The 18102-nt window shown below is 48.6% G+C and overlaps 1 protein-coding gene and 1 pseudogene across 46 annotated transcripts in view; one reads left to right on the top strand and one right to left on the bottom strand.

Moving 5' to 3' along the window:
- The window catches only part of CDK12 (cyclin dependent kinase 12), a 106074-nt gene that overhangs the window by 7813 nt on the left and 80159 nt on the right, over nucleotides 1-18102 (bottom strand). For 12 of the 46 annotated variants that reach the window (XM_011524893.3, XM_011524894.3, XM_047436265.1 and 9 more), the window contains 5 exons: nucleotides 15387-15498; nucleotides 12989-13130; nucleotides 11917-11979; nucleotides 8605-8709; nucleotides 3334-3461 (listed from right to left, as the gene is read on the bottom strand). In XM_011524893.3, the coding sequence (XP_011523195.1) occupies nucleotides 15495-15498 (4 nt within the window). In that variant the 3' untranslated portion in view covers nucleotides 3334-3461; nucleotides 8605-8709; nucleotides 11917-11979; nucleotides 12989-13130; nucleotides 15387-15494. Of the gene's footprint in view, nucleotides 1-2688; nucleotides 2884-3333; nucleotides 3462-3559; nucleotides 3608-8604; nucleotides 8710-9305; nucleotides 11713-11916; nucleotides 11980-12988; nucleotides 13131-15386; nucleotides 15499-18102 lie in introns of all 46 variants that reach the window. The other 34 variants (XM_011524898.3, XM_047436257.1, XM_047436269.1 and 31 more) reach the window with 8 other exon arrangements.
- RNU6-233P (RNA, U6 small nuclear 233, pseudogene) lies at nucleotides 13503-13643 on the top strand (annotated as a pseudogene).

Below are 18102 nucleotides of genomic sequence, written 5' to 3'. Positions count from 1 at the left end.
CCACCTCAGTCTTCCAAGTAGCTGGGACTATGGGAGCATGCCACCATGCCCAGCTAATAAGCCCAGGCTTTCAAGGCTGCAGTGAACTATGATTGAGACACTGTACTCCATTCTGGGTGACAGAGCAAGATCCTGTCTAAAACAATAAAAAAGACAATCCTAAAAAGTTATGTACTACATTATTCCATTTTTGAAACTACGAAATTTTAGAAGACAGATTAGTGGTGTCAAGGGTTAAGGAGGGGATGAGGTGGGTGAGAGGGAAGGAGGTGTGAATATAAAAGGGCAACATGAAGAATTCTTGTTGTGTTAGAACTGTTCAGCTTCTTGACTGTAGTGGTGGATACATAAAATTACACAGGTAATAAAATTGTATAGTACTTAATATATATACATATGAGAACACGTAAAACTAGAGAAATCTGGATATGACTGGTAGGTTATATCACGGTCAATATTCTGGTTGTTGTGACATTATACTGTAGTTTTATAAAATGTCACCATTCGGTGAAAGTGGGCAAAATGTACAAGAGACCTCTCTGTATTATTTCTTACAGCTGCATGTGGATCTACAATGATCTCAATTTTAAAAGCCTTGATAGATTATTAATGTCTCTTTTAGGTATAGGAGGGAAAAGGGGCCGCCTTGTGTTTCCAATGTAGAATTCCAATGAGGAAGACTAATAAATATTATATTCTCATTAGTGTACATCAATAAAATGAACACAACCATGGGAGGTGGGTATTTGTATCCATTGACCAATAATTCCATGTCTCAGAATTAACTATTTAAAATGCATGAAGGCCGGGCGCAGTGGCTCACACCTGTAATCCCAACACTTTGGGAGGCCAAGGTGGGTGGATCACCTGAGGTCAGGAATTCAAGACCAGCCTGGCCAACATGATGAAACCCCGTCTCTACTAAAAAAACGAAAATTAGCTAGGCATGGTGGCACACGCCTATAATCCCAGCTACGTGGGAGGCTGAGGCAGGAGAATCACTTGAATCCAGGAGGCAGAGGTTGCAGTGAGCCGAGACTGCACCATTGCACTCCAGCCTGGGCAACAAGAGCAAAACTCCGTCTCAAAAAGTAAATAAAATAAAATAAAATGCATGAAGTTTTATTTGTTTGGATATTCACTGTGGTATTTTTTATAACAGAAAAAATAACCAAATGATTCAAAATAGGGGATGAGCCTTATAAATCACAGCATATCCAGGGGATGAAATACTCTATAGGCTTTAAACATACTTTAAAAAACACACTCAGTACAATGCCTGGCATACAGGCATCAATAAATGGAGTTCTCTTTACTGGTTCTGGGTATCAAAAGAGCTAATGCAGATAAATGTAATTAACGAACTGTAAAGTGCCTAGCAAATGCTAGTTGCTGCTATCCTTCTAATGACTATCTCTCCCCCCTCCATCCTGGATGAAGCTGAACTTCCAGGCAGAACAGTTGCCAAGGTACTCTGGCTTGAGAGGCATAGGAATGGGGTAACTGATTTCTTGGGGAGTCTGAGTCAAGTATTGGGACTACTTTCTTTCCAGAGGATGGCCACCCCTACTCCACATCGTGTAGAAAACTACATTCTCCCCCAGCATGTGCACATACATTTGGCCTTTAATCTCAGGGGACTCACAAAGTCTTTGAAGCAATATCAGCCCTGCTAACTTCATAAAAGTAGTAGTACTCTTGCACCAGCCACTGTTGAGTGAGCACCTACTGAGTATCAGGCACTGTTGTAGGTGCTTTACACACATTATTTCACGAAATTCTCACAACAAACTTAAGGAGTAGTTGTTTTTCTGCATTTTACAAGGAAACTAGGACTCAAAGAGGTTAAGTGAATTACCAAGGTAGCACAGCTGGTAAGTGGCAGAGATGGCACTGGAACCCAGGGCTGTCTGTCTCCAAAACTTGTGATCTAACCACCACACATACTACATGACATTTAGAAGAACCAAGAAGCAGTGCACTGTATGGAAACTGTGCTGAGGCTGTCTGGAAGAGGCCTGGAAAAGTAACTGTGCTTCATCCAATGCCTCTTAGGTAGACACAAAAACAAACCGGCAGGCAGAAGAAAAATCTCAGAAGAGAAGCAGGTCCAATCTGAAGTCTTTCATCCCATGAGTAAGTTTTTCCATATGTCTTCCCTCTATCCTTTCTGCTAAAATCTGATGCTTTTTCCTCTCTTCTGTTTCCAGTGAGGATGGTGAGTAGAACACACAGTGCCCCTCCATGAAAGGTCAAGAGAGGACAGAAGGAGTTTTTCTTTCCCCAGCTTTGTTGAGGCCATGACTAGGATGCCTCCATCTTCTCAGTCTCTTGGATCTACCCCAAGGTGTCAAACTAGAAGATGTGTAGGAGAAAATGACCCAGGAAGGAAAAGTAAAAAGCAGCAGCATAACCAGATCAAAAAGACCAGCTTAGAGAATGACCCAGGGGTCTCTCAGGATCTTAGTGCTGCGCTCAGGGTGATGTTAAGGCGGGCAGTTTCTCCCACCAGACTCAGCGGCCGGCTTCATGTCTAACATCTACCCAGCTGTAGAAGTCCAGCCAGCATTTCTCAAGCCAGCACCTCTTGTCTTGATAAGACATCTCTACAGCTACCTCTCTCTCAGACATAAAGGAGGGATCTGAGGGTTCTGCCACTCTGTATTTACCCTTCTGTTTCAATACTACCTTGCTGTATTTGCTCAGGTGCAGGCAACCCAATTGGTGGCTTAGAGATGCCCAGGGAAGATCATAATTTTGTGAGGAGATGCTAGGATCCCAAGGCTAAATCCAAAGGAGCTCTTCCAGGATCTCAAGGCTGGGTCCAAATTTATTTCCTCTTTTCTCTCCACTGAGAGCCAGGAGGGCAGCAGGGGCCTAAGACTGGACACATAGAATGGAGGGGAGGGGTGTCATTGCCCCCTCCCTCCTCCACACATTATTCTACCCTGCTGGTGCCCAAGCATGCCTGCTGCTCACTTGGCTTCCCTCAGCCCATCTACCCTATGGATAGGAGAGGGTTAAAGGCATGGTATGGGCAAGCTATAAATTTCCCATCAGTGTGGAGAGAGCAGGATTGTTGGCAGGGAGGGGGTTGGGCTAGCGGGGAGGGGGAGCTGGGAAAAAGCCAGGAGGTTGTCTCTAGGTAACAATAAACACTGCAAGCAAGGAGCAGCTGTTACACTTACTCTCTCTGCATCACAATGCTGAAATAACACTAATAAACCAGTGTGCCCAATGCACAGGCATACACACATTTAGGGCTGGGACCCCACTGTACCCCTATGGCTGCCCTCTACTCCAGGGCAGGGCCCTTCATGGCAGTGGACATACCTGTCCTGGCTTCAGTATACTTGTGGGGAAGGATGAAGACTGACAAGTTCTCCCCATCCCAGTGGCATTCTCAGGGTCAGGGTGGTGACCGAGGCTGGAATCTTGGGTTCAGATCCTGGTGGCATTCACTGGAAAGAGTTGAAACAGGGATAGCTCTCAGTTGGGAGCTGGGAGGAGAGGAAGAGAGTGAGAGAGAGAAAAGCATAGGGAACAGACAAGTACTTACCACGTCCTTTCAGACTGGAGGGGATGAGGTAGCCAGGAATGGAATTGGCTAAAGGGAGGTGAAAGAAAAGGCAGGCAGAAAATAGGGTTTGAGAAAGTAGAGGATTAGGGAGCATGTGGCATCGTGGCATGTTTTCTTTTTTTTTTTTTTTTTTGAGACAGGGTCTCACTCTGTTACCCAGGCTGGAGTATGGTGGCACAATCTTGGCTTACTGCAACCTCCACCTCCCAGGCTCAAGCAATCCTCCCACCTCAGCCTCCCAAGTAGCTGGGACTAGAGATGTATGCCATCACACCTGGCTTTGTGTGTGTGTGTGTGTGTGTGTGTGTGTGTGTGTGTGTGTGTGTGTGTGTGTGTGTAGAGATGAGGTTTCACTATGTTTCCCAGGCTGGTCTCGAACTCCTAAGCTCAAGCGATCCACCCATCTCGGCCTCCCAAAGTGCTGGGATTATAGGCATAAGTCACTGCACCTGGCCATGGCATGATTCTTTTATCTCTCCTGGGGCTGAACTCCCTACATTTGCTTACACCTGGCCTGGAAGACCCAAGATCCCCCTCACAATACTACTTCTATACCCAGGGCCAGGTGATGTGTTGGTTTAGTTCAGGACTGAGCTTTATTATGCATCTCCCAGCAGGCAACCTGGGGCTTCTGATACTGCCCGGGAGAGCTGGGGGAATGGAGCTGTTCCTGACTTCCTACACAAGGAGTGGCTAATCTTCTGTCCTTTTTCTAACCAAAGCCATCTCTGGACCACCAAGAGCAAGTGGGCAGAGGTCCCTCATCCTGGCAGGAGAGCAGAGCTGCCAGCAATGAAAGAACAGAAATAGGCAAATGAGAACTCAGGCTCTGTCACAGAACCCTCCTCCTCTTAGTCCATCCTTCACTGAAGATGGGATGTTTATTTTTTAATTAATTAATTAATTTATTTTTTGAGACAGAGTCTCGCTCTGTTGCCCAGGCTGGAGTACAGTGGTGCAGTGGTGCGATCTCGGCTCACTGCAACCTCTGCCTCCCGGGTTCAAGTGATTCCCCTGCCTCAGCCTCCTGAGTAGCTGGGATTACAGGAGCCTGCCACCATGCCCGGCTAATTTTTTGTATTTTTAATAGAGACAGGGTTTCACCATATTAGCCAGATCTCGATCTCCTGACCTTGTGATCCGCCTGCGTCGGCCTCCCAAAGTGCTGGGATTACAGGCATGAGCCACTGTGCCCAGCCAGATGTTTACTATTATGTGTCTGGATACATTGGCAAACAAGATCGCTGTTACTCTTTTTTTTTTTTTTTTTTTTGAGACGGAGTCTCGCTCTGTTGCCCAGGCTGGAAGGCTGGAGCGCAGTGGCGCGATCTCAACTCGGAGATCACTGCAACCTCTGCCTCCCGGGCTCAAGCGATTCTCCTGCCTCAGCCTCCTGAGTAGCTGGGACTACAGGTGCACGCCACCACGCCTGGCTCATTTTTGTACTTTTAGTAGAGACGGCGTTTCACCATGTTGGTCAGGAGGGTCTCTATCTCCTGACCTCGTGATCCACCCGCCTCAGCCTCCCAGAGTGCTGGGATTACAGGTGTGATTTGCCGTGCCCGGCTATCCTAGCTGTTACTCTTTACCAGATCCAGTATAGGCCCCTGGGACTGGAGTCCAAGGCATGAATGGTTCTCCTGGTCCACTTTCTGGCCTCTTTCTCCTGGTGTGACCTCAAACCCCGTTACCCTATTATCCCCTCTATCAGAAAAATGGAGACGATGCATACTGCCCACCTGGCACACAAGGGAGGAGGAAATCGACACTTCTGAAGATCTATGGTTCTGCACCCACCTCCACAGCCTGCACCACTACCTTGGTTCAGCCAGCATAGGAGTCCCTAGCTGCTTCTCTCTTGTCCCAGGTGTCTGTTTCCAGAAAGGAGAGGACTGAGACCCAGCAGTTATCCTTCCAGGTTCTGGTGTTATAACACAGCTTGTTTTACTTCTAAAAATTTAGTGTCAGCTGGGTACCTAGAGTTCTGGGCAGGCAAGTGAGGGTAGGGAGGAGTAACTGTGTTTGCCTAGAAACCCCTCTTCTGGAAAGTGCCCAGGGGCACTGAGCTACCCTAGCACAGATGGATGCCCCGTACCTCCTGTGCACCCAATGAATACAGTAGGGCAAGAATAACTGGCCTCTCCTATCCTTTCCTCACTGAGATACCTCTCACTGGGAATGCTCAGCTTCCCCTGCTCTCTTCTCTCCCATTTCCCTGTTTTTTTTATAGTTGGGGCCTCCCCTGCTCCACAATCCAGATGAGGGACCTTCATTCACAGAGCTCAGAGTGGGGAGATATGGGGCAAAAGAGAGCTCTAATAGGCCTGGATCCCTTCCCCTCTGTTGTTTTTGTGAGCCACCTCCACTGCTATGAGTCACCAGAACCTTGAGCTTGCTGAGCTACCAGCAGCCTTCTCCCTCTTTCCTTCCTCCAGCCAGGCAGATATGTGCCCAATGGGCCCCAGAGCCTGCCATCTTCCTATCTTCAAGCCCACAGTCCCCTCCTTCATTTCTAGGAATCCACAACATAGACACATGGAAATGAGTGAGCAAAGGAGTGTGAGAGACCTCAGCATGTGCTCTGTGCTGGGGCAGAGAGCTGGCTGCCTGCACAGCAGAGCAGGATCACTAGCCAGGCGAGCTGGCACACTTGGGCAAACAGCCCTGTCGGCATGTGATCAAGGAAGCAGGAGAGGATGGGGTAAGAATGCTGTTTCAGGAGCAGACATCTCCTCCTGGCTTCCTCTCTAGTTACCTTCTTCTCCTTGGCCTTTCTCCTTGGGTGCTGATGGACACCATGGCACTGCCACCTCTATCTACCCCTGTCTTGGCCTTCCTTCCCCTTCTTCATGGCTTTGGAAGCTACAGAGAGGGGACCTGCTTAACAAACTCCAAGGTGTCAAGATGGGAGGTTTAGTCATCCAGATCTCTCTTCAACCAGTGGGAAAAATTTAGGGGAGAAGGAGGAAAGAGATCCTATTAGAGTAAGAGTTGAGCCGTAGGCTAACATTGAGTACCCCACCTAGTCTCTTTTCTCCAAAGTGCAGGAAATTCTGGGTACTACCATTTTTAACTTCCACTCACTTCAAGTCATCCCTCTTCCCCGCAAAGATCTGGCACCCTTGGCTAAACCTTAGAAATGAGAGGCTGAGCCACACTCCTGTAATCCCAGTACTTTGGGAGGCCGAGGCAGGCGGATCACTTGAGGTCAGGAGTTTGAGACCAGCCTGGCCAACATGGTGAAACCACGTCTCTACTAAAAATACAAAAATTAGCCAGGCATGGTGGTGCGCACCTATAATCCCAGGTACTTGGGAGGCTGAAGCAGGAGAATCACTAGATCCCAGGAGGCAGAGGTTGCAGTGAGCTGAGATCACGCCACTGCACTCTCCAGCCTGGGCGATAGAGTGAGACTCCATCTCAAAAACAAACAAACAAAAAAGCCTTAGGAGTGGGAGGCAGATCTGACAGGAGTTACAAGAAAGGAGGCTCTGTTCCTTGGAGAAACACCCAGAATATAGACTGAATGCTTTTAGGGCCTTTTAGCCCTAGCTCTAACATGACTGCAATATGTTGGAATAGGGATGGACAAAGGGTGAAAAAGAGGGCTTACAGAAAGCCTGCCACCCTCTCTCCTTCAATGCATGCTCCTTTCCACTGCTGTGTGTTCCAGAGTAGAAACAGCAGCTCTGTAAACAGCAGCCATTTAATAAATCCTACAAACCATACTTGCTCTAAATGTCCTGCCACACATTAGGCAGCCAGCCCCACAGGTGGGACTACAGGTCTCAGTTCCCAAACTTCGCCCTCTGCCTTGTCACCACTTTCAGGTTTTTATCTGCTCTCCCAACAAGAGAATCTTCCTTTCCAGCCCCTTGGCACAGCCTTCCTCCCCTGCTGACACCCCTGGGGCCCTTAGAAGTAGGCACGGGGTCCTAGATAAATTCTTTCCAAACTGTTTTGGAGGGATCTGAGGAGAGCTCTTCTCATCCTGTCTGCAGTTAAGAAGGCAGGCAATGAGACAGCCAAGGAGATGACTCACAGTCTGAAGGAAGGGCTGGGTGAGGCTGGGGGGCACTTAGGCAGATCTTGCTCTTCTCAGGGGATTTGGGGATATAAAATGGGGAAGAGAAGGCAACTCTTGGGTGGGGGAAGGGTGTTGGGGGCCTGGGGAGTGTGATAAAGTTTTTACTGGCACTGCTTTCCAAGCTCTGTGCCTATCCTTGTCCCTAACCTAACTTAGTCTCATGAAGCATGGAACTAAAAATGTTGAATTTTCTGAGGAAGGAGGAGGATGGCAAGAAATGCCACCTTGGCAACCTAGTGGGAGAACCCCCTTTCTCCTTCATTTCTTCCCTCCTAACCCTAGCATGTGAACACTGAAGGAAGCAAGGGGTTGGGGATGGGTACAGCTGGAAACTTGCCCCTTTCTCCAGTGTACATCAACACTACAAGAGTCAGAGGGGTCTAAGAGCTCTAAGGCCATGGCACCACATGAATTCAGGAGCATTTCTAATTCAGCCTTCAGGGCCTTGAATTTAAATTCTATCTCTGTTCTAGGCTTTGCCATGGGACAAGACGTATAAGACTACTCCTTAACACATTTGTTGGCATAAGTTTCTCCAGTGGCTTATTATATTGCAGCAGGGAAATATGTGGTAAGATTTCAAAAAAAAAAGCTCAGCATTTAGTCTTGATTGGGGGATTTGCTTCTTGGTTAAGGAGGTGGGGTAAATAATGCATTTCCTTCCCTGTAGATCTTATAAGACATGGTAAAATTCCATAGGGGTCAGGGGCTGTAGGGGATTTGTGTACTTGGAAGCAAGAAAATGGATAAGATGATCTCTGGAACAAGCTGTATAGAGGAAATGTCCCCCTAATAGTGCTCCATAGAAGCTGAACCTGTCCATGACTCCCCTAAGTTGCTTCTAAGACAGGGGATAGAAACTTGAGACTTCAAGCAATGGAGAATAATATCCTGCATACCTTCTTCCCTTGACTTTCCTCCCCCAACACCTACCTACCTTTCCTTTTCCTGTGTTCCCAGAAATTCTCCAAATCCAGGAACACAAAGCAATACCAGGACAGGATTCAAATGATTTCCCCTCTCTGGGTCTTGTTTTTCACATCTGTAAAATGAAGGGGTGGGGCAAGATGAGCTCCAAGTTCCCTTTTTTTTTTTTTTTTTTTGAGACAGAGTCTTGCTCTGTTGCCCAGGCTAATTCTCCTACCTTAGCCTCCCAAGTAGGTGGGATTACAGGCACACATCACCATGCCCAGATAATTTTTTTGTATTTTTTGGTAGAGATGGCGTTTCACCATGTTGGCCAGGCTGGTCTCGAACTCCTGGCCTCAAGTGATCCACCTGCTTCGGCCTCCCAAAGTGCTGGGATTATAGGCGTGAGCCACCGCACCTGGCCAAGTTCCCTTTCTTGCAAAAGCAAGGTTCTACGATTCATACCCCAAAAGGCACCAGGCCTCATTTGCATGCCATTTTGCATGTAATCTCCATGGCACTTATTTTATGTCAAAACATACAGAAATACCTCTGAACCCTGCCCTTCTCCTCCGTCTCTCCATAGTCTCTGGTTCTATGGTCCATAGCTCTTGTCTTCTCTCTACAAGGACCTCAAAGCTCTGTCCCCACCTTCCTTTCACAATTTTACAGCACTCCCTGGGACAAGCCCAACCAGACAAAACCCCAGGAGCAAGAAAACAGCCTCACCTTATATTCTGGCTGTGATTTTGGGCTCCAGACCTGAGTCAACCAGTATAGTTCCAATCCGTTTGGAGGTCCTGGCAGTTGGGGGGAAATCCTGGCACCTCTCCCCAGTGCCTCCCTTCCTCCACCTCGCTATTCTCCATGCCAGAACGCAAAGTGGCCAGTGATTGATGGGCCTGGGTTCCCGGTAACCGCACCCAGTGGCCCAATCCTCCTCCCTTACCCAATCCCTCCCCTGTCCCTATTCAGATATCAGATTGTCTCATGTTGGTCCCTGAGGTCCCATTAATTAAAAATACATCCAATTAAATGGCAGGTGAAAACGTGCTATTGGAGCTCTATACCCCCCTGCCCCAGCTTGGTCTCTCCACCCCCTCAACCCCCCTTTTAAGGCTCAGCTGTGCTTTGAGCTGAGAGAGAGAGAGAGAGAGAGACAGAGAGAGAGAGAGAGAGAGAAAGCATGAGGGAGAGAGTAGAGGAAGACATGGGGCAGGGTATGATGGGGGGGTTATTTGATCCTCTGCCAGGGTAGCATGTGCCAGCCTGGGAGGGTGGCACCATGCCCTAGTGTCTAATTTCTGGAGGTGTTGAGTAGGTTCAGTCAGCTGGGTACCCATTTCCATTTCCCTTAAAGGGGCAGAGGGCAGTCAGAGGGCATGGCTAGCTATAATGCCTTCCTTTTGGGCTTTGTGGATGAAGGGCAAAAGTGTAGATGGCAGAGGGGCCTTATAGGGGGACATGTAAAAATCAGGGATTGGGAGAGTCTGAGGCCTCCATTCTTGGCATATCACTGCTCTTCCCCAAACTGGGAAGACTATAACGAGGAGCAGGCTGGGACCCAGGTGGCAGGGCATGGCGATGCTCCCAAGCCTGGCTGTGCCTACCCCTGCCCACAGGAAAGCTGAGAGAAGAATGGAGAGAGGGAGGAAGGAGCCATAACTTCGGTGGGAGCAGATGGGTCAGATAGGATAAAATATGCAGAGAGAGATGTTCATGTGGGCACCATGTCCCCTAGCACTTCATAGGTAAAGGACCTGAAAGGACCCGTCCTGTTTATCTTTTCTTCAAGCAAAAAGAAGAAGCAGAGCTGTAGCGTGAAGTCACCTTGGCCTGGCTGCCTGGCAGGCAGTGAATAGGGTATCTCCCTTGATGAGCACTGACCGCTCTCCTCCTCCATACTTACGGTGTCCCTAGCATTTTAGGTAAGGCATTTGCCCCCTTCCACCCCTCTGCAAAGCCCTCTGGCCCCAAGCGATACAAAACTAATGGGCACTGAAAGCTGTTGGGAGAGGAGCTGGGAAAGTAGGGGTGACTAAGGGTGACACTCAGAATCCAGGCAAGAGTGGGGGTTTTGCCAACCCAGGGCCCCCGTCTGGCCTCCTTGGCAGCCTCAGCACCTCCTCACTTCACTTTAACGCTAATTGGAGATTTTAATCTGCACTGCTGCTCTGCTCGGGGTGCTGGGGGGAGCGCCAGCTGTGCAGTAATTCCAGCAGCACCGACTGTTTAATCAAGCTGTCCTCCTGGGGAGGGGCCCTCAGGCATGGGGGTAGGAAGGAGGAGGAGAACCTCTGTCATGTCCCTTAGCCTGTTCAGCCTGGAAGGGCTTCATGGAGATGGAGGGTCAATTGTGGAGTCCTCAGTCCCATAGAGGCCCCAGGGCCATTTGGCACCCCTAGCAGAAACACTGCCTGATACAGGGTGGGTATGAGGCTCATGGCCCAAAGCAGCCCACACTCCTATCCAGCTTTCTGACACCATTTTTGGCTCAGGGCCCTGGAATGTCCTGGGGTGTATTCCAGCCACTGAGGCTGCAAACATCCACTAGACCATCTTGAATTCTATAGGTTTGTGCTGGAGTAGGTGACGGGGAGACTAACTCTCCCAGGCTTCAGTCACCCCTAACACTTTCTCACTAACAAAACACTTTTCTTAGAACAATTATAAGAGATTTTTTCCCCCTAAAAACCACAGGCACCTCCACCATCTGGGTCGGAAAGTGACTGCCATTAAGGCAGGGGGACAACGGGGCATACAGCTGGAACCTGCTACACCTTAAGGGAGAGATGCACCTGTGCAAGGTGTTAAGTGCCTGGAAAGAGGGGGCTTCCCAAGTTCAGCTGGAAGCACATTGAGATGTCAGGCCACTAGAGCAAAGTGTTTAGGGGTCTCAGGCCATTTTCAAGGAAGAACAAGTGGTACCAAATATTTGTCTCACTTTTTGGGCCCATGCTCTCTGGGGCCCAGAGAGCCCCAGAGTTTCTGACCCCTGTTTTGGAGAAAGGGTGCCCTCATCCCCAAACTGTCTGCTAAGGGGCATGAGTTTTAATTGGCCAGCAGCGCCCTCGTGTGGCAGAAACCATGACTGCAGCTGCCCAACTGGCAGGCCTGTTCTGTGTGATCAGATAACCTGGTAGACAGAAGACATGAAGATAAGTTATAAATGCTGGTGCTCAAGGTACCCCATGCATACTTACTGCTTGACTACATCCAGGGACGTTTCTTGCTAACACTTGCTCTATCCCTCTGTCTACCTCAGCCCACCTGCTTCACCTCTAACTCAACCCATATGCCTACCAGGAGAGGGAGCACCTTACCCAGAGGTGGCACTTACTTGAGCTGCTGCATGTGCTGTCTGGATTGCAGGGATGAGAGAGGCACTGCAGAGAGAGGAGGCCTAGGGTCAAGAGGATAAGCTGATGTCACCTCCTATGCCCAGGATGCAGGGAGATGCTCTGCCCACACCTGACCCTGCAACTCTCAACAGCCCCCAGAGGAGAGCTGACACCTGAGCTCAAGACAGTAACACCTAGTAGTTGATTCTGCTTTATGGCCATCTATTCTCCACTTCCTGGAGGCATCTGGGAATGAGTATGGACAGATTCTCAGAGCCTAAGATCCTGGTCCTGGGAAATAGACACTAGATAAATCATCTTTCCTTTCGGAACAGTCTGGATATTATTAAAAACAAATGCACACATAAAACCATTCGCTCAAAAGATCCAGGTAGGCCAGGCGCAGTGGCTCACACCTGTAATCCCAGCACTTTGGGAGGCCAAGGCAGGCGGATCACCTGAGGTCGGGAGTTCGAGACCAGCCTCATCATCATGGAGAAACCCCATCTCTAATAAAAATACAAAAATTAGCCTGGCATAGTGGCGCATGCCTGTAATCCCAGCTACTCAGGAGGCTGAGGCAGGAGTATAGCTTGAATCCGGGAGGCAGAGGTTGCAGTGAGCCAAGATCGTGCCATTGCACTCCAGCTTGGGCAACAAAAGCGAAACTCCGTCTCAAAAAAAAAAAAAAAAAAAAAAATCCTAGTACTCTCCCAGGATAGCAAGCAACTAGGAAGAATGCACATCTGTGGCTTCAGATTTCTAGCCCCCAGAAGAAAGGCTACCTGTCATTAGACTCTCCCTCTCCAGTACCAAATACCATCTGTTTACTGGTCCATTCCCACACCCACTAAATGGGAAAAATGGTCATGAACTATAGAAAAAGGGATGGACATTTGATACCAGGAGGTTAGCGGCTCTTTACAGATTCGGGCTGGAAGTTACGAAGACATACAGGCGAGTCACCAAGGCCTTCCCCTTGTTGGAGACATTTAATAACAGAGAAAAATACTCCGAGAGAGAAACATAACCCTGTTTGGGGTTGATGGGTAGGGGGAGCAGCACACCTACCAGCAAGCAAGAAAGGTGGGGGTAGACACAGGAGGCTGGTGACCTGTCCCATCTGGGCATTGGGGATGAAGGAAGCAGGCTTGCAGGCCTCTAATTCTGGTGTCTCACACAGTGTTTGGACAGGTGGGATTTCCCACTGAACCTGGAAAGGAAGTGAAGAAGCTGATTAGAGGTAGTGAGAAGGGACAGAACTGCCCTATCTTGACTGAGAAGAAAGAAATAGAAAATAGCTTTTTGGTGCTTGCTTTGGCAGCACATATACTAAAAAAATTGGAGGTCGGGCACAGTGGCTCACACCTGTAATCCCAGCACTTTGGGAGGCCGAGGCAGGCGGATTACGAGGTCAAGAGATCGAGACCATCCTGGCTAACATGGTGAAACCCCGTCTCTACTAAAAAATACAAAAAAAAATTAGCCAGGCGTGGTGGGGGGGCGCCTGTAATCCCAGCTACTGAGGAGGCTGAGGCGGGAGAATGGAGTGAACCCAGGAGGCGGAGCTTGCAGTGAGCTGAGATTGTGCCACTGCACTCCAGCCTGGGCGACAGAGCAGGACTCCGTCTCAAAAAAAAAAGAAAAAATTGGAATGATACAGAGAAGATTGGCATGGTCCCTGTGTAAGGATGACATGCAAATTTGTAAAGTGTTCCATAAAAAAGGAGGAAGGGGCCGGGCGCGGTGGCTCACGCCTGTAATCCCAGCACTTTGGGAGGCCGAGGTGCGCGGATCATGAGGTCAGGAGATCGAGACCATCCTGGTTAACATGGTGAAACCCCATCTCTACTAAAAATACAAAAAATTAGCCAGGCGTGGTGGCGGGCGCCTGTAGTTCCAGCTACTTGGGAGGCTGAGGCAGGAGAATGGCGTGAACCCGGAAGGTGGAGGTTGCAGTGAGCCGAGATCGTGCCACTGAACTGCAGTCTGGGTGACAGAGCAAGACTCCATCTCAAAAAAAAAAAGGAAGGAAGGAAGGAAAAAAAAATCCTGTAATCCCAGCACTTTGGGAGGCTGAGGTGGGCAGATCACCTGAGGTCAGGAGTTCAAGACCAGCCTGGCCAACATGGTGAAACCCCGTCCCTACTAAAAATACCAAAAATTAGCCAGGCGTAGTGGCGGGCACCTGTAATCCCAGCTGCTCAGGAGGCTGAGACAGGAGAATCACTTGAACCTGGGAGGCAGAGGCTGCAGTGAGCTGAGATCACGCCATTTCGCTCCAGCCTGGGCAACAGAGCAAGACTCTGTCTCAAAAAAAAAAAAAAAAAAAAGCTTTTTGGGGCTGGGCACAGTGGCTCACGTCTATAATCCCTGCACTTTAGGAGCAGAGGCAGGCAGACTGCTTGAGTCCAGGAGTTAAAGGCCAGCCTGGGCAACATGGTGGAACCCTGTCTCTATTAAAAATACAAAAAATTACCTAGGCATGGTGGCACACGCCTCTAGTCCCAGCTACTCAGGAGGATGAGGTAGGAGAAATCACCTGAGGCTGCAGTGAGCTATGATAATGCCATTGCACTACAGCCTGGGCAACAGGAGTGAGACCCTGCAAGGCTGTGTATATAGATGGGGTTGTGGGCTAGAGGGCTAGCTGCCCTGGAGGAGAGGGCTGAGAGTAACCCACTAACTGACATCAGCAACCCACTGTAGAGGAACATCCATTAGCACAGCTGGACAAGAGGAAAGAACAGGAATGCCAAGAAAGGGGGTTACCTGCTCTAGCTGGAAGGGAGAATCTATTAATCAGAAGGCAGAACATCAGAATATAGGGTCAAATAAAAAGCTAAGGAAACTCCTCTGGAGATCTTTCGGAATAAGAAACTTCCCTGAGATCACCTGTTAGCCTGGTGCGGTGGCTCACGCCTGTAATCCCAGCACTTTGGGAGGCTGAGGCGGGCGGATTACCTGAGGTCGGGAGTTGGAGACCAGCCTGACCAACATGGAGAAACCCCATCTCTACTAAAAATACAAAATGAGCCGGGTGTGGTGGTGCATGCCTGTAACCGCAGCTACTCAGGAGGCTAAGGCAGGAGAATCGCTTGAACCCCGGGAGGCGGAGGTTGCGGTGAGCCGAGATCATGCCACTGCACTCCGGCCTGGGCAACAAGAGCAAAACTCCATAAAAAAAAAAAAAAAAAAAAAAAAGATCGCCTGTTACCCAGCTACTCAAGAGGCTGAGGCACGAGAATCACTTGAACCCCGGAGGCGCAGGTTGAAGTGAGCTGAGATTGCGCCACTGCACTCCAGCTTGGGCGGCAGAGTGAGACTCTGTCTCAAAAAATAAAAATTAAAAAAGAAAAAAAAAAGAAAGAAACTTCTCTAAGACCAGGGGTGGGGTGGGGTGGGATGGGAGTAGGGTCATCCCACACAAAAGCAGGCCAGTGACCTCTGATTGGCTTTAGGCCCCTACCTGGCTTGGCTTTAGGTTCTGTGAAAGAGACTGAATTTGCCAGGCTCTGGGTGAGAGGTGACTGATGGACATCACTGCATTCCTCAGAGGGCATTCCCACCGTTGCTCCTACCTGTAAAGGAAAATGGCAGGTTACATTAGACATGAGACAAGGGACTAGACACCAAAGAACATCTTTGGTCTTGCACCCAGGAAGCATCCATTGGTAGGTAACAGTGACGGTGATGTTAGCACTCTTCTAACTCCTTCAAACCTGAATTCCCCAGAAGGATTCAGACTAACCTTAGTACACTCCCAGAGAGAGTCATAACTGTTCTAAAATTCTTGTCTCCAGGGACCTAGCTCCCAGGCTGATAAAAGCAAAAACATGGTTCTTAAAGTTAGGGAATTCAACAGAAACAGAAGCTGTGAAACCCAGAATCATAAAGATCAATGAAGGTTAATGGTTAATATAAGGCTAATAAAAGAAGGTGACTGGGAGGAGGCCACCCAGTTTTAGATCAGATCATGAGGTTGGACTTGTGGCTCTCTCATCCATAACAGCTCCTTCAGGAAGGACTCTAAGGCAAAAAAGGATCCTGACTGTGAGAAAGGAGGTTTGCAGGACAGCAAACTTAATGTAATCTGGACAAGTAGGTCTATCATACATTCCCTAGAGACAAATTTACATGGAGACCAGTTCCACATTTCCTCTATGCTGTCTATCAAAGTTGATGAACAAAACGTAAAGGATATGTACTGGGATCTATTTCTTCATCAGCAGCAGACAATATTCACTTTGCAGATCCCCAGTACCTCTCCCCTAGACCCATTAACTCTTTCTAATCTGCCCAATGATGCCCTCCTCCCTTCACCATTCTGCTTCCAGCCTAGGCATGCTCCAGTATTCCACTCTCTGCTCATCAGTGGCTCCCAGACTCATATGCTCAGAGAAAGCAAACACTGGAAGGGACTGTAGATACATCCAGGAGGGGTCTAAAGAGGGAAAGGCATCTTGGCACCAGACTGAGATGACTTACAGAACCAGCAATGCGTGTCAGCCAACTGAACACACTATTTAGGGTATTTAGGCCACTGTGGATCACCACATACCACCTTCCTTCTGCCTCATCAAAGGAGAATATCAAACAACTCAAAACTTTAAAAACTAAAATAAAGGAGAGGAGAAGGTCCCCTTACCATTTTCCTGTAATCTCAGAGCATACCTCTTTTTGCTGAGTTCTATCATCTCATCTATCATTCAGGGACCCCCTTCCGCCACCATAGTTTTCTAGCCGATGTGTTTTCTTTCTCCATTCCCTTTTTCTTTTCAATATAGCAAAAGAGCTTCAGTTGAGATTTAGGGTGAATTCCTCACATTGCCTCTAAGGATCTTTTCCTGCTATCCAACCTCCAGAGATAGTTGCAAAATGCTCTTTGAAGTTTGGGTTAACTCTGAGGGCATCAGGATCTTTGGCTGTGGCTGCCATCTGCTTCCCAATGAACCAGCCTCTTGACTTTAAATAAAAATTACACTTGTATAATCTGCATGTCATTGAAAGATTATTCTTAGACTGGGTGCAGTGGCTCACGCCTGTAATCTCAGCACTTTGGGAGGCTCAGGTGGGTGGATCACCTGAGGTCAGGAGTTCAAGACCAGCCTGACCAACATGGTGAAACCCCATCTCTACTAAAAATACAAAATTAGCCGGGCATGGTGGCACATGCCTGTAATCCCAGCTACTTGGGAGGCTGAGGCAGGAGAGTTGCTCAAACCCGGGAGGCCAGAGGTTGTGGTGAGCCAAGATCGTACCATTGCACTCCAGCCTGGGCAACAAGAATGAAACGCCGTTTCAAAAAAAAAGAAAAGAAAAAGAAAAAGAAAATAAGAGGCTGGGCGCGGTGGCTCACGCCTGTAATCCCAGCACTTTGGGAGGCCGAGGCAGGCAGATCACCTGAGGTCAGGAGTTTGAGATCAGACTGGCCAACATGGTGAAACCCCGTCTCTACTAAAAATACAAAAAAATTAGCCAGGCTACATAATACAAAAAAATTAGCCATTAGTTACTCGGGAGGCTGAGGCAGGAGAATCGCTTGAACCCAGAAGGTGGAGGTTGCAGTGAGCCGAGATCGCGCCATTGCACTCCAGCCTGAGTGACAAGAGCGAAACTCCGTCTCAAAAAAAAAAAAAGATTATTCTTTAAGATACACACACACACACATATATATATGTATATATAATTTCCCAGTCTTTCTAGATCTACCTTTCCCCCTCAATCTCTCTCTCCCTCCTCAAATCTCACAGTCCATCCTTCCTTTCCTGAAGAAGCTCAGGGCTCTCAGGAAAGGGTCATCTTAAAGTTGGGGGCACTCTACTCGCAGAAGTCAAGATTCTGGCCTCTTGGATCTAGTTCTGGCTGGCTGCCATTAACTCGCTGTGCGACTGCGTGGGCAAGGCACTTTCCTTCCTTAAGCCTCAGTTTCCTGCTCTGTAAAGGGAGAGGTTAGATTACCTGACCTCTTTCCTAGCCCTGGCAATCTATGATTCCCTAAGGGAGAAGACGTGTCATTCCATCAGGAAGTGATACATTCATTCCTGCCCTTTACAGCTTCTCTCTGGGCCACTGCAGAGAAACTCCCCTATAGATGCCTACCTTTCCCTTGCTGGCTTAACCAAAGGGACAAGTATGTTTCAGAAGGAGGCCTTCCTTTAAGAGCCAAACTCGGGGCCGGATGC

This window comes from Homo sapiens, chromosome 17 (assembly GCF_000001405.40).
Source record: "Homo sapiens chromosome 17, GRCh38.p14 Primary Assembly".
In the NCBI taxonomy this organism is placed as follows: Eukaryota; Metazoa; Chordata; class Mammalia; order Primates; family Hominidae; genus Homo; species Homo sapiens.
The sequence above is the reverse complement of the archived record's forward strand: the minus strand, read 5'-3'. Positions and strand labels throughout refer to the sequence as shown.